At 51.0% G+C, this 15,943-nt stretch overlaps 2 protein-coding genes and 1 long non-coding RNA gene across 3 annotated transcripts in view, besides 4 other annotated features; 1 reads left to right on the top strand and 2 right to left on the bottom strand.

Moving 5' to 3' along the window:
* The window catches only part of TNRC6B (trinucleotide repeat containing adaptor 6B), a 290,975-nt gene extending 290,629 nt beyond the window's left edge, over positions 1 to 346 (bottom strand). Inside the window, exon 1 of the mRNA NM_001024843.2 lies at positions 182 to 346. The gene's annotated coding sequence lies outside the window, so the exon portion shown is untranslated. The remainder of the gene's footprint in view (positions 1 to 181) is intronic.
* Positions 197 to 316: an enhancer, noted in NCBI's record as "active region_19081". NCBI's record gives its function as "activates an Ori minimal core promoter by ATAC-STARR-seq in GM12878 lymphoblastoid cells {active_cell/tissue: GM12878}" and the evidence as "EXISTENCE:reporter gene assay evidence [ECO:0000049][PMID:35858748]".
* Positions 627 to 926: an enhancer, noted in NCBI's record as "active region_19080". NCBI's record gives its function as "activates an Ori minimal core promoter by ATAC-STARR-seq in GM12878 lymphoblastoid cells {active_cell/tissue: GM12878}" and the evidence as "EXISTENCE:reporter gene assay evidence [ECO:0000049][PMID:35858748]".
* TNRC6B-DT (TNRC6B divergent transcript) lies at positions 650 to 2,050 on the top strand. The gene has a single exon (NR_163486.1). It is a non-coding gene; the product is annotated as a TNRC6B divergent transcript (long non-coding RNA).
* Positions 1,008 to 1,655: an enhancer, noted in NCBI's record as "H3K27ac hESC enhancer chr22:40439529-40440176 (GRCh37/hg19 assembly coordinates)". NCBI's record gives its function as "activates a minimal SCP1, AML or CMV promoter by ChIP-STARR-seq in primed H9 embryonic stem cells {active_cell/tissue: H9 hESC(primed)}" and the evidence as "EXISTENCE:reporter gene assay evidence [ECO:0000049][PMID:30033119]".
* The window catches only part of FAM83F (family with sequence similarity 83 member F), a 48,581-nt gene continuing 34,283 nt past the window's right edge, over positions 1,646 to 15,943 (bottom strand). Inside the window, exon 5 of the mRNA NM_138435.4 lies at positions 1,646 to 15,664. Coding sequence (NP_612444.2) covers positions 15,615 to 15,664 — 50 coding nt within the window. The 3' untranslated portion in view covers positions 1,646 to 15,614. The remainder of the gene's footprint in view (positions 15,665 to 15,943) is intronic.
* Positions 13,940 to 14,459: an enhancer, noted in NCBI's record as "NANOG-H3K27ac-H3K4me1 hESC enhancer chr22:40426725-40427244 (GRCh37/hg19 assembly coordinates)". NCBI's record gives its function as "activates a minimal SCP1, AML or CMV promoter by ChIP-STARR-seq in primed H9 embryonic stem cells {active_cell/tissue: H9 hESC(primed)}" and the evidence as "EXISTENCE:reporter gene assay evidence [ECO:0000049][PMID:30033119]".

The following is a 15,943-nucleotide window of genomic DNA, read 5'->3' as shown; positions in this document are numbered from 1 at the left end:
GCCCGCTCCCCGCCCCACGCGCGCTCCCTCGCGAGGACACGCACACGCCGCGCCTCCGCTCACCGCCCCGGGCCGCGCCGCGCGCCCCCGGGGGCGCCCTCGCCGACCCCCGGCCGCCCCGCTCCGTCCCGGCGGGGCGCGGGGGAGGGGAAGGACGGCGCGGCCGCCGCACCTCACTCACCGCCGAGCCGTGCCGGCTCCGAGTGCGCGGCGTTTCGCTGTGAGGCGAGGCGCGCAGTCTCCGCTTCTCCGCAGACTATGGAGGCGACGTCGTAGGGGGGACTGAGGGGCGCAGGGGTCACTCCCTCCCGTTTCGCCTTGCAGCAGCACGGGGACCCCAAAAACTAAAAACAAAATAAACAAACTTTCCCCTCCGCATCCCTCCCCCAAAACCACAACACAAACACTCGGGGGCCCGCCCAGAGCCCCACTCCATTGGCCGCAGGGAGGATGCTTCCGGCTCTCACTGGCTGGCTTTTGTGCCCGTCAAGCTGTCGTTCCGCCCCTCCAATTCCTCGTTGCTGCCTTCGCCCCTCATTGGTTAAGTGCTTCCCGTTTAACGAGCTAGGATTGGCTGAGCTGCCTGAGCCAATCATGTGGGGACACACCCCCTCAGCATCCCAGAGGCCGCTTCCTCGGTCGAGGACCCAGAGAGACTCAGGGGAAATTAGAGCATGATGGCGGCCGAGGTCGCTTGGCGCAACCATCGTCTTTTTTCTTTATTTTTAGCTCATTAGTGCCTTGCCTCGGCGCTGTTTCCCTAAGCTCCTCTCTCCAACCAGTACTGCCCTATAACGGAATCCATACGTGCCGGCTCCTTGATTTATCCCCTCCGAAGTGCTGAGTGTGGGCTGGTTGTGCGTCATTGGACTGTCAGGATGTCACTCCCCAGTCAAATCTTCAAGCTATTGGTGGAACAGCAAGAAAGCCCGTCCATCAACAAGGGCTAATACCATTGGTTTGACTCCACTGTGTTATTTCCTGGCACCTTATTGGGCAAATAGGTGCGTCAGATCCGGATTCGCTCTGCTACGGTTAATTGTTTACTGGGGATTTGGGGTCAACTCTGGTTGTTTGGCCAGTAGTTGACGATAATAGTGACTCCCTTGCCTATTTTGTGCCAAGTATTGGGCTGCTTTCTTCACAAACATTATCTGGTTAAACCTGGGAGTAATGCAGTATCCAGTTTTTATAGATGGGAAATTAAGGCTGGCGAGAGCTTAGAAAACTTGCCCAAGGTCATCCAGATACAGAGTCGTTGGTGGGCCTGGCATCTGGTCCTGGGTCAAACTGCAGAGACTTCACTCTTTTTATTATGCTTTAGTGCCTCCACCTTAGACGATGTACTTGTCAGCCAACCTAGCATCTTAAAAACGTTTCATTTGGAACTCAAAGTCTTCAGTCAGTTTCTAGAAGTGACTTTGTTGGGGACTTACTATGGAAAGGTTGTCATTGCCTCCACCACATCTTCCTCCCCAGGACCCATTCCTCTCCCCTTTAAGGTAGACATTTCTGCCTCCTTTTATGCGAAGCCTAGGCACCACTCGCAACCCCTGACCAACCATCTACAACTCATTCTTTGGAGAGAGTCCTCAAGAGCTGGAAAACTAGGAGAAATCAAGTCTAAAGAGAGAGACAGAATAAATCGTCTTAGAAATGAATAATTTATTGCATGCAAAGAGAACAGCCCTTCAGCTCCTGGAAATCTTCCAGGATAGTTGATGCTGAGCAAGACGTGTGCTCCTGGCTGGTGGCCACTGGGTTCTTTCCCTATAGCAGCATTCATCGAAGTGAATCCAACATTTCAGCCAGAGGAGGGCAGGACGCTTAGGACCCATTGCCAGTGAGCTTTTGCGACCGAAATGATCTCCAGGAGCACAACGCTGGACTCTAGCCCACATTCCATCTTGGGTAATTAACATTTTACCGTCCCAAATCCCCATCCCCTGTAGCTTCAGTGGGATCACCGCCCTTGTTTCACTTCCTGATCCAAGCTGTTGTGTAACCTCCTTGGCACTGCTTTAATAATAAAACAACCATTGTAACATAGTAACAATGCTCAACACTTAGAGCCTTTCAGCAAATGAAGCCAAGGTATTTCATAAACGTCAATTAAGAGTAAGTGGCATGTATTCCTAGGGCAACTGCAAGAAGGACAGAAGAAAGATCGTGCGTCAAATTCTAATATAGGTTGTAAGAACGTGAGTCCTTAAAATTGTATGCACATACCCCATATTAGCCTTCCAGTATGGGGATTCTGAACTCAAAAACACAATGAATGAGAAACATTCAGAATCTAAAACCTTCCTAATCTTCAAAGTTGGTTGCTTGGACCCCTATTTTAGCACTTAAGTTGGTGCTTGACTTTCTGGGTAATTGTTTGATACATTTCAGTTGTAAGTACCTTGAAGCAGATGGTTTCTTTTTCATCTTTGTGTCCTTCACATTGTTCTGATCGTAAAAGGCCCCCAAATAAATAATTACTCAGTAAATGTTTAGTGAGCATGTCAGGCACTTTTACTAAGTTACAAAGGCTATGCAGATGAGTGATACACTCTCTCTTCCTTCAAGGACCTCAGTCGAGTAGGGGTGTCCAGCAGATAAGCAGATAACCATGATGCAGTGCTGTGAGAAGGTGCCCTGGAAGCAAATGGTAGGGACATGGGACTCCATCTCGGGAGGGACAGAAATGGCTTCCTGGAAGAAGTGACACCTTCAAGGAGAACTAAAGAATGAGTTACGGTTAGCTAGGCAAGAGACTGGTGATGTGTGGTGACCTACGACATTTGCTCTCTGGTGGCAGGGAGCAGAATGGGAATATCCAGAGATGGCCAAAGCCTGTTCTTCTTAGAATCTTTGTCCATAAAGGCCTCAGCAATTTGTCCACTCCACCTCATTGTGCCTTCCCTCCCAGAGACAAAACAAATGCCTGAAACCTTCTCCTATTTGCCCACTTGAGAATAGGAAAATAATTTCCAAATAAGATGGCCGTTTTTCTGATCATAAAAGTAACATTGAGGCCAGGCACATTGGCTTATGCTTGTAATCCCAGCAATTTGAGAGGCCAAGGCGGAAGGATTGCTTGAGGCCAGGAGCTTGAGACTAGCTAGAGCAACACAGGCAGAGCCCATTTCTACAAAAAGAAAGAAAATAAATAGTTGCGCATGGTGGCCTGCGCCTACAGTCCCAGCTACTTGGGATGCTGAGGTGGGAGGATTGCTTGAGCCTGGGAGTTCAAGGCTGCAGTGAGCCACACCACTGCACTCCAGCCTGGGCAATAGAGCAAGACCCTGTCTCAAAAAAAAAAAAAGTAACATTGAGTAAATATAATATTAACTCAATATTTAATATTCTGTATTTCAGACAATATAGAAAGTTATAAAGTAAAAGCCGCCCATAGTCTGTTACATCCAGACACTGTTAAGGAGACTATCTTCCCAGACTCTTTTATGAACAGACCCACAAATGAGTTTCTTCTTCCAACAAACAGTGGGATGTGGTTCAGGGTCTTTTCTGGGCTCTCAGAGCTCTCATCACCCAGAACTGCGGCTTTGGATGGAACCTGCCCTCGCTTTCTATACTTATAGGAAGGAAGCCAATCTGTCAATCAAATATTTATTGTGGAGAAGATGGGTTTCAATTCCTGTCAGAGCCAATGGCAGGACTTTTGGGGCTTACTCAGCCTGGTGTGAATGTTAAGCCAATGATTGGGGTGAGGGCGTCTGCCCTGTAGGGCTTACAGGCATGCCTTGGTGCCTGCGGAATCAACTCATACCCTGAAAAGGCAGCCCAGGTCAGAGAATGCTATGCCAGGGTGCTCTCTTGTGCTTGCTCTCATTTCCTCTCTGCATGCTACTTGGGGAAAATATTTTTCTGTTTGTTTGTTCCAACCCACCCAGCTTTCAGAGTAAAAAGACTCGTTAAGCCCTGCACACTTGTATGCAGGCCAAGTGCACTATGTTCTTGGAGCGCTGTGCTATTCTTAGCGCTCTATATGTGGTGTTCTATACAGTTGGCTTTTTGCTGGAGGGGAAGGCAGATTTCATGAGTGATAGCTGCCTTGGCTGGCTACCAAAAGTGCTCTGAGCCATCTCAAGCAACAGGCCTTCCTTTTTTCCCTTGAGAGGTTGTGTTGTGATCCCTGCCCTCGGCTTGGACAAATTCCAAGGCAATGGGAATTTTTGTGAACAATTCTGCAATAACCCACAAGCTGGGGGAAGGGGGGATAGCAAGCTGGATCTGCTCCAGCTCTAATTTCTGTGACACAGAAGAACTCCTTCCGCCCTTTGCACTGGCCCCTCATAGCTATGAAGAATTTGGAAGTGTTCATTAAGCATTCTCCAATTCTTGAAGCTTATAACAATGGGAAGATCCCTGTAAAGGAATCTGATCCAAAAGACAAGGGGACAGCTGACAGCTGATACTGCTTGCTTGGGCAGTGGGTGTAGCCATTGCCAAAGACCAAGAGCAATGAGGCAGGGAAACTCTCTAAAGAGGGCTGATTACAGAGGGCATGCTTATAAGCATTTATTGCATGTCTGGGAGCATTTACTGTGCAACACATCCCTTGTGTCTGTCTCACCTTCTAAATCACCTATCATTTTTTATGACCACACTTCCTGAGAAGCTACTTAGTTAAGCAGCAAACACTGGACCCCCTCATGTGTGCTGGCCAATGCTAGACACACAGGAGGCAGCTCACAAGAGAACCAGGATTATGGTTAATAATAACTACCCTTTGGTGGACACTTGCTGTGTGTCATACACTGTACTGAGGGCTTTACGTGGATTATGGCTGTTAATCTTCACAACAACCATTGTTATCCACATTTTCTAGATAGGAAAATGGAGGCACTGAAGGGCTAACTAACCCATCGTTGAACCTAGGCGGTCTGACTCCAACGAGTAAGCTCTTGTCCACGCTGCTATATTGCCTCTGGGATGTCTGACTTGGGAACCCCACAGTGCAGCTGGGGAGATGACCAGCCCTCAATGAACAGTTGTCCTCGTAGTCTTTAGTATCTCAGCCCCATCCTCTTTACCCCCTATAAACTCAAGGAAAGAAATACACCTCTTTCCGGCTAAATTACTGCCTCTGGTGGTCCTTCCTCCACGTCCCAACTGAGATCTGGCTTTTCTCCCACTCCCTTCAAATAGCTTCCTTCCCTTTCTTCTCTATTTTCTTATCCTAGCTTTTTAAATAATGGCCTGCGGCCATCTCCACCACCAGGAATGCTCTCTCGTTTTCTCTCTCTGAACCTGGCTTCTAGCCCTAACTCTACTGAAATTCATTTCTCTAAGCTCATCTATAACCTTTTTGTGGCCAAGATCCAAGAGACTTTCTCAGTCCTTGTTTCCATGGCTTCACCAATACGTTTTACTCTGAGAATCTTTTCTTTGCTTCCCCAAATAGCCAGCTTTCCTCCTACCTCTACAACTGTTCATGCTCTTTTCCCTACCATCTCTTTCTCTAAGCTCCTTCAAAGGAATCTGTCTGCACTTCTCTCCTTATGTTGTCTCTGGGGGCGTGCGACGCTCGCAGGACTCAGCAAGCTCAGCTGGGTCATTATCCTACTTTCACCTCTAAGATGAGAATTCTATCTCTCCATCTCCACCCTTCATTCTGCAGCTTGTTTGCTGCGTGACTTTTTGCAAGTCACACAAACTATCTAAGCTTCAGTTTCCTCGTTTCTAAAATGAATATATTGAATCGGATTTGTTATTCTCCACCTAAGATAATGATAAAACCTAACATTTTAACCCACATACCAGGCCAGGCGTAGTGGTTCATGCCTGTAATCCTCCCAGCACTTTGGGAGGCAGAGGCAGGTGGATCATGGAAGTCAGAGGTTCAAGACCAGGCTGGCCAAAATGGCAAAACCTCATCTCTACTAAAAATACAAAAATTAGCTGGGTATGGTGGCGCGCACCTGTAATCCCAGCTACTCAGGAGGCTGAGGCAGGAGAACTGCTTCAACCTGGGAGGTGGAGGTTGCAGTGAGCTGAGATCGCGCCACTGCACTCAAGCCTGGGCAACAAAGGGAGACTCCATCTCAAATTAAAAAAACTGCATACTATGCCAGGCAGGACTAAGTGGAAAATGAAAGCATGGGGTTCTGTGTTCACAGGTTTCATGCCCATGAAGCCAGCTCTAGTACCAGCCTCTGCTCCAAGCATTGTATATGTATGAGCTTATTCAGTCCTCATAGTAACTTTCTGAGGTAGATACAGATGAAGAAAGTAAGGCAGAGATAGGTTAAGCAGTTGCCCAAGGTCAGTTTTTAATTGGTAGAATTGAGGAAAATAACACTTGCCTGTTGGGGCTGTTGTGAGACTCACGGGTGCAGGTGCATAGGGAAGGCTGGTTCCTGTCCAGGGACCCCTCAGCCCGGCCATGCCCATTCTCCGGCAGAGAGTTTGTCCATGTGGTTTCTGCTGCCTATGATGCCCCCTCTTCCTCTGCCTGTCCCCAAGTCTACACTTTCTTCAAAGCTCAGTTCAAGCCCCTCCTCCTCCTCTGAGGGGTTTCTGCAGCCGAGGCAGGCCCACATCTCCCTTCCCCTGGCAGATTTCCTGAGCACCCATAGTGAAGGCAGCCCCCTCCCTGCCTTAGGAGCACTCGCTGGCCTTTGCGTACTCCAGGCTCAGTAATAACCAATCCTACAAGGCCAGAGGAAAAACTTTTTTCTCCATATCCTTGGAGCAGCTTGCTGTAGACTGTCTCACCCACCAGACAGGAAGGCTTTGCGGGCAAAACCTATATTTGAGTTATCTGAGTCTTCACTGTGTCCTCGATAATTGTGATTCTCATAATTCTCCTAAAAGAGTTCTGTCTAGGCTCTGGACCTTTCCCTGGAATGCCTTGCCTCATTGTCCCCTCCTCCATTCACTCCTCAGGTATCGGCTCAGAGATTACCTCCTCCTCCAGGAAGCCTACCCTGTTCTTCTCCCCCAGGTTAAGTGCCTCCTCTGGGCTTCTTTACATGCTGTGCTTTCCCATCAGAACACTTGCCTCCCAGTATCCATCTTCCTAACCATGTTCTGAACATTTGAAGGTAAAGGCCAGGTCTATCTTATCACAGTGCCTGGAACACAGTAAGTTCTCAATAAGTTCGTTTGAACAAATGAATGAACGAATGAATGAATGAAAAAATTAAATGTTGAGCAGGTGCAGTGGCTCACATCTGTAAGCCCAGCTACTTGGGAGGCTGAGGTGGGAGGATCACTTGAGCCCAGGAGTTAGAGACCAGCCTAGACAACATAGCAAGACCCCATCCCTAAAGTTTTTTTTTTAATTAGCTGGGCAGGGTGGTGCATGCCTGTAGTCCCAGCTACTTGGGAGGCTGAGGCGGGAGGATCACCTGAACCTAGGAGTTTGAGGTTGCGGTGAGTTATGATTATGTCATTGCACTCCAACCTGGCAACAGAGACCCCCATCTCTTAAAAAAAAAGTTGGTGAAAACTCTGGGCTCTGCAGGCATCTCAGCACAGGGCTTGGCACCTGATGGGTGCTTATGTACATTTATGAAATGGGTGAGAACAAATCCAGAATTTCTGTTCAGAAGAAGCCTTAGTGGCAGCGGTCTGGTTGGAGGAGTGAGACTAGTGAATTCCTCTTGACAGAACAATGACAAGGTAAACATGAGAGTTGAGAGTCCGTGTTGGGAGCGGAGGCATAAAGGAGAGGTGTCCTAGGCCAGAGGTCAGCAAGCCCAGGCTTGAGGACCAAATCCAGCCCACTGCCTGTTTTGGCACAGCCTGTGAGCTAAGACTGGTTTTTGCTTTTGTTTTTTTGTTTGTTTGTTTTTGAGATGGAGTCTAGCTCTGTTGCCCAGGCTGAAGTGCAGTGGCATGATCTCAGCTCACTGCAACCTCCGCCTCCCAGGTTTAAGCAATTCCTACGCCTCAGCCTCCCGAGTAGCTGGGATTACAGGCATGTGCCACCACACCAGGCTAATTTTTGTATTTTTAATAGAGACAGGGTTTCACCACGTTGGCCAGGCTGGTTTCGAACTCCTGACCTCAGGTGATCCACCCACCTCGGCCTCCCAAAGTGCTGAGGTCACAGGCATGAGCCACCGCACCTGGCCGGTTTTTGCATATTAAAAGAATATTACTACTTTGTGATACATGAAAATTATGGATTCAGATTTCAGTATTCATAAGGTTTCACTGGAACATGGCCACACCTGCTTGTTTCTGTACTGTCTAGGGGTGCCTCAGTGCTATGACAGTAGCTGCAACAGACACACTGAATGTTCACTTTTTGGCCCGCCACAGAAGGAGCTTGCAGATCCCTGCTTTGGCCGTCTAGCTGACCTAGGGGAGGAAGGACGTATGCTGCCAGCCAGCCACAAGGTGTCAGCCTCTCACCATGATGCTGCCAGCCGCGTGGGCTTCTCCAAGTTCTCCAAGGCTTCTCTCCAGGGCCACCTGCGCAGGACCAGGACTGTGGCCCCTAGACCCCGTCCCACCAGGCTATAGTCACTAGTGTGAAAGCCAAAGACATCAAGGCGGGGTGTGGAATCTACATGAGGAGTACAGGCCTGGCTTGGGAAGCCCCATGGCCTGGAGAAGGGTTGGCAGACTTCTCCGGACATGCTCTGTTTCTTTGATTTAGGTTTTATTTGTATTTTGTATACAAAAGATTCTCCAAACAAACTAAAATTGTTTATTTCACCACAAACTATCAATCCAGAAAGGTTGTGGGACTTTTGCACAACCAGATAAGACCGCAGCCCTCTAAGGATGAACCTGCATGAGGGGAACACAGGTCCCTGCCAAGCAGAGTGGCTCCGAAATGGCATCTCTGGCAGGTTTTCTCTCCCTTTCTGTCGAAACCTGGGCCTTGGCCAGGTGTGGTAGCTAATGCCTGTAATCCCAACACTTTGGGAGGCCAAGGCGGAAGGATCGCTTGAGGCCAGGAGTTCAAGTCTAGCTTGGGTAACACAGTGAGATCCTATCTCTACAAAAAAATATTGAAAATTAGGGCAGGAGCGTTGGTGCAAGCCACTACTACTACTAGCTACTTGGGAAGCTGAGGATGGAAGATCTCAAGGAACTCATTGAGCCCAGGAGTTTGAGGCTGCAGGAAGCCATGATTACGCCACTGCACTCCAGCCTGGGTGACGGAGCAAGATCATCTTAAAAAAGCAAAAAAGAAAGAAAGAAAGAAAAAAGAAACCTGAACTCTGTAGCTTCCTTCAGGTGAACAAGCAGTTAGCCCTGTGTGCCAACGATTCAATATGAAAGTGGTAAATTTCACAGGGAATTAAAGGGGAGGATCTAGGAGAGAAGATCCCAAAAGGAAAATAAGCCACTGGAGGTCACAACCCTGGAGGCTCCTCCGATGCCCAGCTGTTTGCGTCAGCCCCTGTGCTAGGTGCTTCACGTGGTTACTCTGGAGAGTCGTCTCGAGATCATCCCCATTTGACACATGAGGAAACAGGAAAGTTCGGGGATGTGAAATTGCTTGCTGGGGTCATTAGCTGTTCGGTGGCAGAGATAGGATTTCAGCCCTTGCCTGCCTGTTCTGAAGCCTGTCCTCTCTATGCCATGCGCCCCCGCCAAGGTCATGCAGGCATACCACTTCAATACCATGCCTTCCTCGCTCACCATGGATCCCCAGGCCGGGCACCCAGCAAATATCCACCGGATGAATAAATGGGTGCAGGCCTGCAAGCACTGCAGCGAACCTTTCCCTGTGCAGTCGCCTAACTTCCAAGACACTTCCAGGAAGAGATGAGGCAGAGAGTCAAAGCTGCGAGCAGGAAATAAGAATCATGACGCATGGTTTTCTGCACACCATGGGCTCTTTTCCCCTTGCTTGTACCCACAGCACTGTGGGCACCGCGGACATACTGCCTGTTCTTGCCTTTTGCTCCTTTCCTCCCCCAGCTCCCACGCGCTTGCTGGCTTCCGTGGCAGGCCCTAGCCCATCTCCTTCTATTACGTGGACATCTGCTCCTAAAGCTGCTTTTCAGTGGCTGCAGGCAATGCCCTAACTTCTAGCCATTTTTCTAAATGAAAACTTGATTCCAGCCGGCTGTCACTGTGAAAGTGCTCTAGGACGGTCCAGATAACCAGATTCTAGCCCTTCCTGCGACTCATTGGGTGACTTTGGACAAATTTCCTCACCTTGGGCCCTCCTTTCTATGCTAGCTTTTGAAAGGAAGCATGCAGACAGGGCCATCCTTGAGCAGCTAGAGGCCTGCAGGCCCAGTGCCACCTAGTCTGGACCACCCAGGAGATGAAGACCATGCACTTAGGACAGATGAAGAAAGGAGAAGCCTTCCTAGAGGAAAGGATTAGATCAGGAGGGACTTTTGATAAACCCAGTCCTTAAGAAATTAAATCACAGCAGAACCCCATTTGGCATATACGGTATTAGAAGTCAGGAATGAGACAGAAAGGGTCATGATCAATTCTAGAACCTCTATGACACATCCTGTTTATTCACCTGGCTAATTCTCTGTACTGAATGGCAGTCAAGTCTTCAATCATTTAACAAATAGGTATTAAGCATATATTGTGGCTGCAGAGCTGAGCCAGGCAGGTGAGGCACCAGTGCTCACAAAGCCCGCTCTCCAGGCTCAGGAACCCCAAGGACAGATGGGTACCTATCGTGCCAGGCAGCAGCACATGGCATCTAGAAGCAGGGCTTTCCTCAGTCCCTAGCTGGGAGAGCAGAAGCTGCAAGGGGAAGGGCGAGAAGTCCAGGCCTGCCTAACTGTGCAAGGTCTCTGGGCTGATCTCATGGTTACTTAGCCCCAGAACATACTCACGGCTGTGCCTGCCCTTCTTGCCCTTCTCCTCACTCAACCTTGGACTGGTTCTGCTCACTGAGCTGGGGGTACCTGATTTGCAGCAAACCTCCTGCCCCTGGAACAGCAGTGCAGACGATCAGCAGCAGCCACTACGTCCTTTGGGCAGGGAGGCAGGAGTGTGGCGCACTGCCAGATGAGAAATTGCATCCCTAGCGCACGGCAGGGCTAATTAGCTGCTAAGGGGGCTTTGTCAATGTTCACTGAGAATGTGGTCATGACAGGCAGGTAGCGATTCCTGCTTGGCCTGACTTGAGTGTGGAAGGCTCTCTGCTGTCAGCACTGGCTGCTTTTGGAGGTGGGTCCACCGCTGGGCACACACAGGTATGTGCAGTGGTACTGTCTGTGCAGGACGTAGCTGAGCCTGAAGGAAGAGGGACAGACTGGCAGGAAACCTGACAGGGAGCTGAGTGGAGTGAGGCAGATGTGTGTACATAAACACACCTGTCATGGGGAATATAAGGTGGTAAAGAACTAAGAAAGATAACCAGAACAGAAAGGAAAGATGCTACTGCGTCTCCCAGGAAGCAGCGTCTCAGGCAAGTCAGCCAACCTCTCTGGGCCAGGGTGCTGTGTCCAAGGTACCCAGGGCAGAGAGTGCATTGAAACACTTCGGAGAAGTGGCCTGTGCAGGCCACCAGGTCAGGACTGTGAAGAAAAGAGCCAGTGCTCTCAACGGGGGCACTTTTACCCCCCAGGGGACATGTGGTAACATCTGGAGACATTTTTGGTGGTCTCATCTGAAGGAGTGCTAGTGGCATTTAGTAGGTGGAAGCTAGGGATGTTGCTAAACGTACTATAATGCACAGGGCAGCCCCATCCCCAACAGAGGATTCTGCAGCTCCAAAGCATCACCATTGCCAAGACCCTGAGCTCAAGGAACAGACTCAGACCTGCATTCTCTGTGACGTGGGATCTGGGGAGAGTTGTGTGCCTCCTCATCTGAAAGATGGGGATAATGAACCTTAGCCAGGCTGGGCGTGGTGGCTCATGCCTGTAATCCCAGCAGTTTGGGAGGCCAAGGCAGGCAGATCACCTGAGGCCGGGAGTTCAAGATCAGCCTGACCAACATAGTGAAACCCTGTCTCTACTAAAAATACAAAAATTAGCCGGGCGTGGTGGCGCGTGCCTGTAATCTCAGCTACTCAGGAGGCTGAGGCCAGAGAATCACTTAAACCCAGGAGGTGGAGGTTGTAGCGAGCTGAGATGACGCCACTGCACTCCAGCCTGATCGACAGAGCAAGACATTGTCTCAAAAAAAAAACAAAACAATTACTTGCGCTTCTCATCATACAACCTTATGAGACCCACTCCCCCAATACACAGGAAAACTGTTACCTTTCTAAAGGGCTCTTTGTTGAGCTTTTCTTAGTTTGAAACCTTCATGTTACTAAAGCATCTAGCATGGTGACTGGCATATAGTAGGTGCTCAATAAATATGAAAAAGAGAAAAGCAATACAGTAGTAAACAAAAACAAAACAAAAAAATAGCCTGGCCGGGTACGGTGGCCTGTAATCCCAGCACTTTGGGAGGCCAAGGCGGGCGGATCACAAGGTCAGGAGATCAAGACCAACCTGGCTAACATGGTGAAACCCTGTCTCTAATAAAAATATAAAAAAATTAGCCAGGCATGGTGGTGGGCACCTGTAGTCATAGCTGCTCAGGAGGCTGAGGCAGAAGAATGGCGTGAACCCGGGAGGCGGAGCTTGCAGTGAGCCAAGATCGCTGTCACTGCACTCCAGCCTGGGCAACAGGGTGAGACTCTGTCTCAGAAAAAAAAAAGAAAAAAAAAAAAGAAATAGCCCACTTTCCCCTCTTTGGCCAGTTTCTTCCATATCTCTGGGTCTCATTTTTTGCCTAGCCTTTCTATAAAGTTCTACACAGGCAGAGGGTAGTGATGTTAACAGAGGCTATCTTGAAAGCCCTCGAGGGGTCAGGGATAAGATTAAGGACAGGTAGCTAAGGAGATGGGAAGTTTTGCCAAATCCCAAGGGGCAGGCTCCCAGATCCATCCAGAAGTCCTGTGCTTACTGCCCTTGTGGGGCAGAAGCAAGCGTGGCGGCCGCACCAGGGGCTCAGCTCACTGGGAGGTTAGGTTTCCCAAAGAGCTGCACCAGCTGTGAACACTTACCCTACAGAAGCTGACTCAGAAAGACAGCAGCTTGGTGGTGGTGTGGGGTGGGAGGGGGGTGCAGTGAAGCCAGACCCCAGCCCCGAGAGTGCTGCCTTATCCTGTTCCTCCTAGAGCCCTTCCAATGTAACCAGCCTTGCAGAAGCTGCTGTGCAGGGACCAAGGGCATGATCCACCCTTGAACTTGCCATCCAACTGGGAGGGCCAGATGTACCCTTGAGATTTGATGAGTAAGAGACTGCTTCACAAAGTATGTGCAAGTGCTGGAACAGAGGGCAGGCGTACTCACAGCTGAGAAGCCAAGAGGCAGAACAGAGTGGGCCGGTGCCTAGGCAGACAGGCAAACATGAAGAGCTGCATTTTGTGAGTTCAAAATCCTTGCCATCTCGGACTACAGTTTCTGTCTCAAGCCTTTTGGAGCGGGGGGTGCCGACACCATCTTGTCCACACTGCTATAAGGACGAGGACACAGGCCAGCAGGGAGAGGCACCCTGCCTGGGCACTCCTGCCTTGTGGCTGGCCCTCTTCCCACTATGCCAACTTGCTTCCTAACATATGGTCTCCCCATCATTTCTACCAAGAAAGTGTGAAAAACGCCATCTTGGCACATGGAGAAACTGAGGCAGAAAGGAAGGCCTGGCTCAAGGCTGTGGTGACTTGGAGATTCCAATCAGGGATCCTCCCAGATTAGATGTCAGGGCAGGGGAGGGACCTGGGTGTGCTTTGGGCCTAGAGGAGGTAAAGGGACAAAGCAGGGCCTGCTCTTCTGGCAGGGGAGGCACAGATGCCCTTGGCTGACTTGCTTGGAGGCCGGTCCCTTCCCCAGGCTGCCTCCCTAATCCCCAGAGACACCCACCCTCCACACCAGAGAGTGATCTCTTTGCCGCGTTGCAGTTTACACATTTCATGTCCCATACCTTCAAGGTGTCCGCCTCGAGCTGAGGTGTAACACCCCCACATCCCACCTCCCCCCTCTCTCCCTTCCCTCCCCTCCAGAATGAGCTCATGCCACACTGCCTGGTCTTGGTGCCTAAGGAAACACTTCCCAGAAGCATTTCACCTTCATAAAAGCTCAGGGAGGTGGGCCAGAGTCCCTTCTCCACACGCCCTAGAAGCCAGCCTTGGGATTAACAGAGAAGACCCTGGGGACAGGCTCACCCTTCCTTTCCCTTCCCCTCCCCACTGCCAGAGAGATTGCATCTCCTCAATGGCCGCCACATGTGGTCCCCACTTCCTGCTTCCTCAGAAGCAATGCCTGGCTCCCACAGCCCAGCCAGAGCAGCCCCTTTTCTTGCTCTCACATCAGCTGCCTTGCAGACATCTGTACCCCTCCCCCAGGTGCTGGTAGTGTCCTAGGGTTTTTTAGAAGGAAAGAAAGAGGATGAGAGTTTGGTTCAGAGGTCAGAGGGCAAGAAAGTCCGCTGCATGGCTCTTCCACAGGGCTTGGATCCCCCATCGCCCTGCCGGCAGGGCCGGCTCACAGAGTCTGCAGTTTGGCAATTTCTCCCAGGTCCATTCACAAACTCTCCTCGGCCCTCTCCAGTCACCCAAGTGGGGAAGGCAGAATGGAATTGCTTACTGGGCCTCCCAGCTCAGCCTCATGGCCATTAGGCTGACCTGCTCTGGCGAGGCACAGGCTCCTAAAAATGGCCTGACTCTCGCAGGAGGCAAAGGCCAGTCTGGCCAAAGTGTAACCTGGAAGCCCTGGTTGGTGAAGGGGTCCGAGGACCCCGTTAGAGTTGAGGGAGAAAAGGCAAATGCTCCTGTCCTCAGGGCCCAGCCTCCCACACCCCCAATCCCCTCTCAGCCAAGCTCCCTCCCTGCCTTGGGCTGTAAACCAAAGTTTACTGACTGAGGGAAGGAGCAGTCCCAGGTAAAGGCCCTGTAAGGACCCCCACATAGGCCCGCAGCAGGCAGCAGCCAAGGAGGTCTCAACCACCCATGCCGAGACTGCCAGGACGGCACTGGGCAGGGAAAAAGAGACCTCAGTGCGAGCGCTCTCAGAAAAGCAGTGTCAAATTCTGCCCCCACTGCGGGAGGCCGCAGGATCTTACCCTCATTCAAGTCTAGTTCAGGAGCCTGCAGGGATGGGGCCAGGAAGGCCACTGCAGCCAGTGCCCCTGCAGTTCCAGCTGCACCTTACATCTGGAGTTCAGAGGCTAGAGAAAGACTGGAACTTGGGATCCCAGGCTCAGGGCCCTGCCCTCTTCCCTTTTATTCCACCAATCTCTTGGGTGGGGAGTGGCGTGGGGAACCAGAAGCACCAGGAAGCCTGGGAAAGGAGAAGCCACTGCAGCTGCCCCAGACACCCCACCCCATAAAGGTTTAAAGAATGGGCCCTCACCCCATCTGGCAATCAGCGGAGGGGGTGGGGCACAAAGGCGAGCAGACACTGGTCAAGCTTCCACTTCATGTAAACAAGGAGGCCGTGGCACTGACCCCTGCCCAGCCACCGACAGTCCGGTGGAGGCGTGTGACTGAGATGCTTCGGACCCTCTCATTTGGGATCCAGCGTCCCTGAGGCCAGGACGGAGGCTGCAGGGCAGAAGGCCAGTTGGCGTCTGATGTGCAAACTGGTGCAGTGTGCGACCTGCGCTCTCCACAGCACAGGGCAGGGCAGGCAGGCATCCACACGTCCTGCCCACCACCATCCCGCAGCTCAGGAAATCACACAGTTGCTAGGCTTGGCAGAACTGGGACTTGTTTTACCTGCAGAGGCAAGGGACAGAGGCGGGGAAGGATGTAAGTGAAACGCTTGGTGGATTCAGCTTCAGTTCCTACCCTGTGTGCTGTCCACATCTCCAGTTGAGGGGCTGGGGTCACTGTCTCCCTCCCAAGCTGCTGATCTGGAAACCAAGTCAATAGGGCACCCGGGAAAGTAGAAGGGAAGATTCTGCCTGTCTCAGCAGCCTCGGCAGGAGCCCCACTGGGTGGGACATCAAGGTGACAGCCATCTCCTGACCAAAGAGGGGTCGGGGAAGGATCCAG

Source organism: Homo sapiens, chromosome 22, assembly GCF_000001405.40.
Source record: "Homo sapiens chromosome 22, GRCh38.p14 Primary Assembly".
Taxonomy (NCBI): Eukaryota; Metazoa; Chordata; class Mammalia; order Primates; family Hominidae; genus Homo; species Homo sapiens.
Note: the sequence above shows the minus strand (reverse complement) of the source record. Positions and strands in the feature narration are given on the sequence as shown.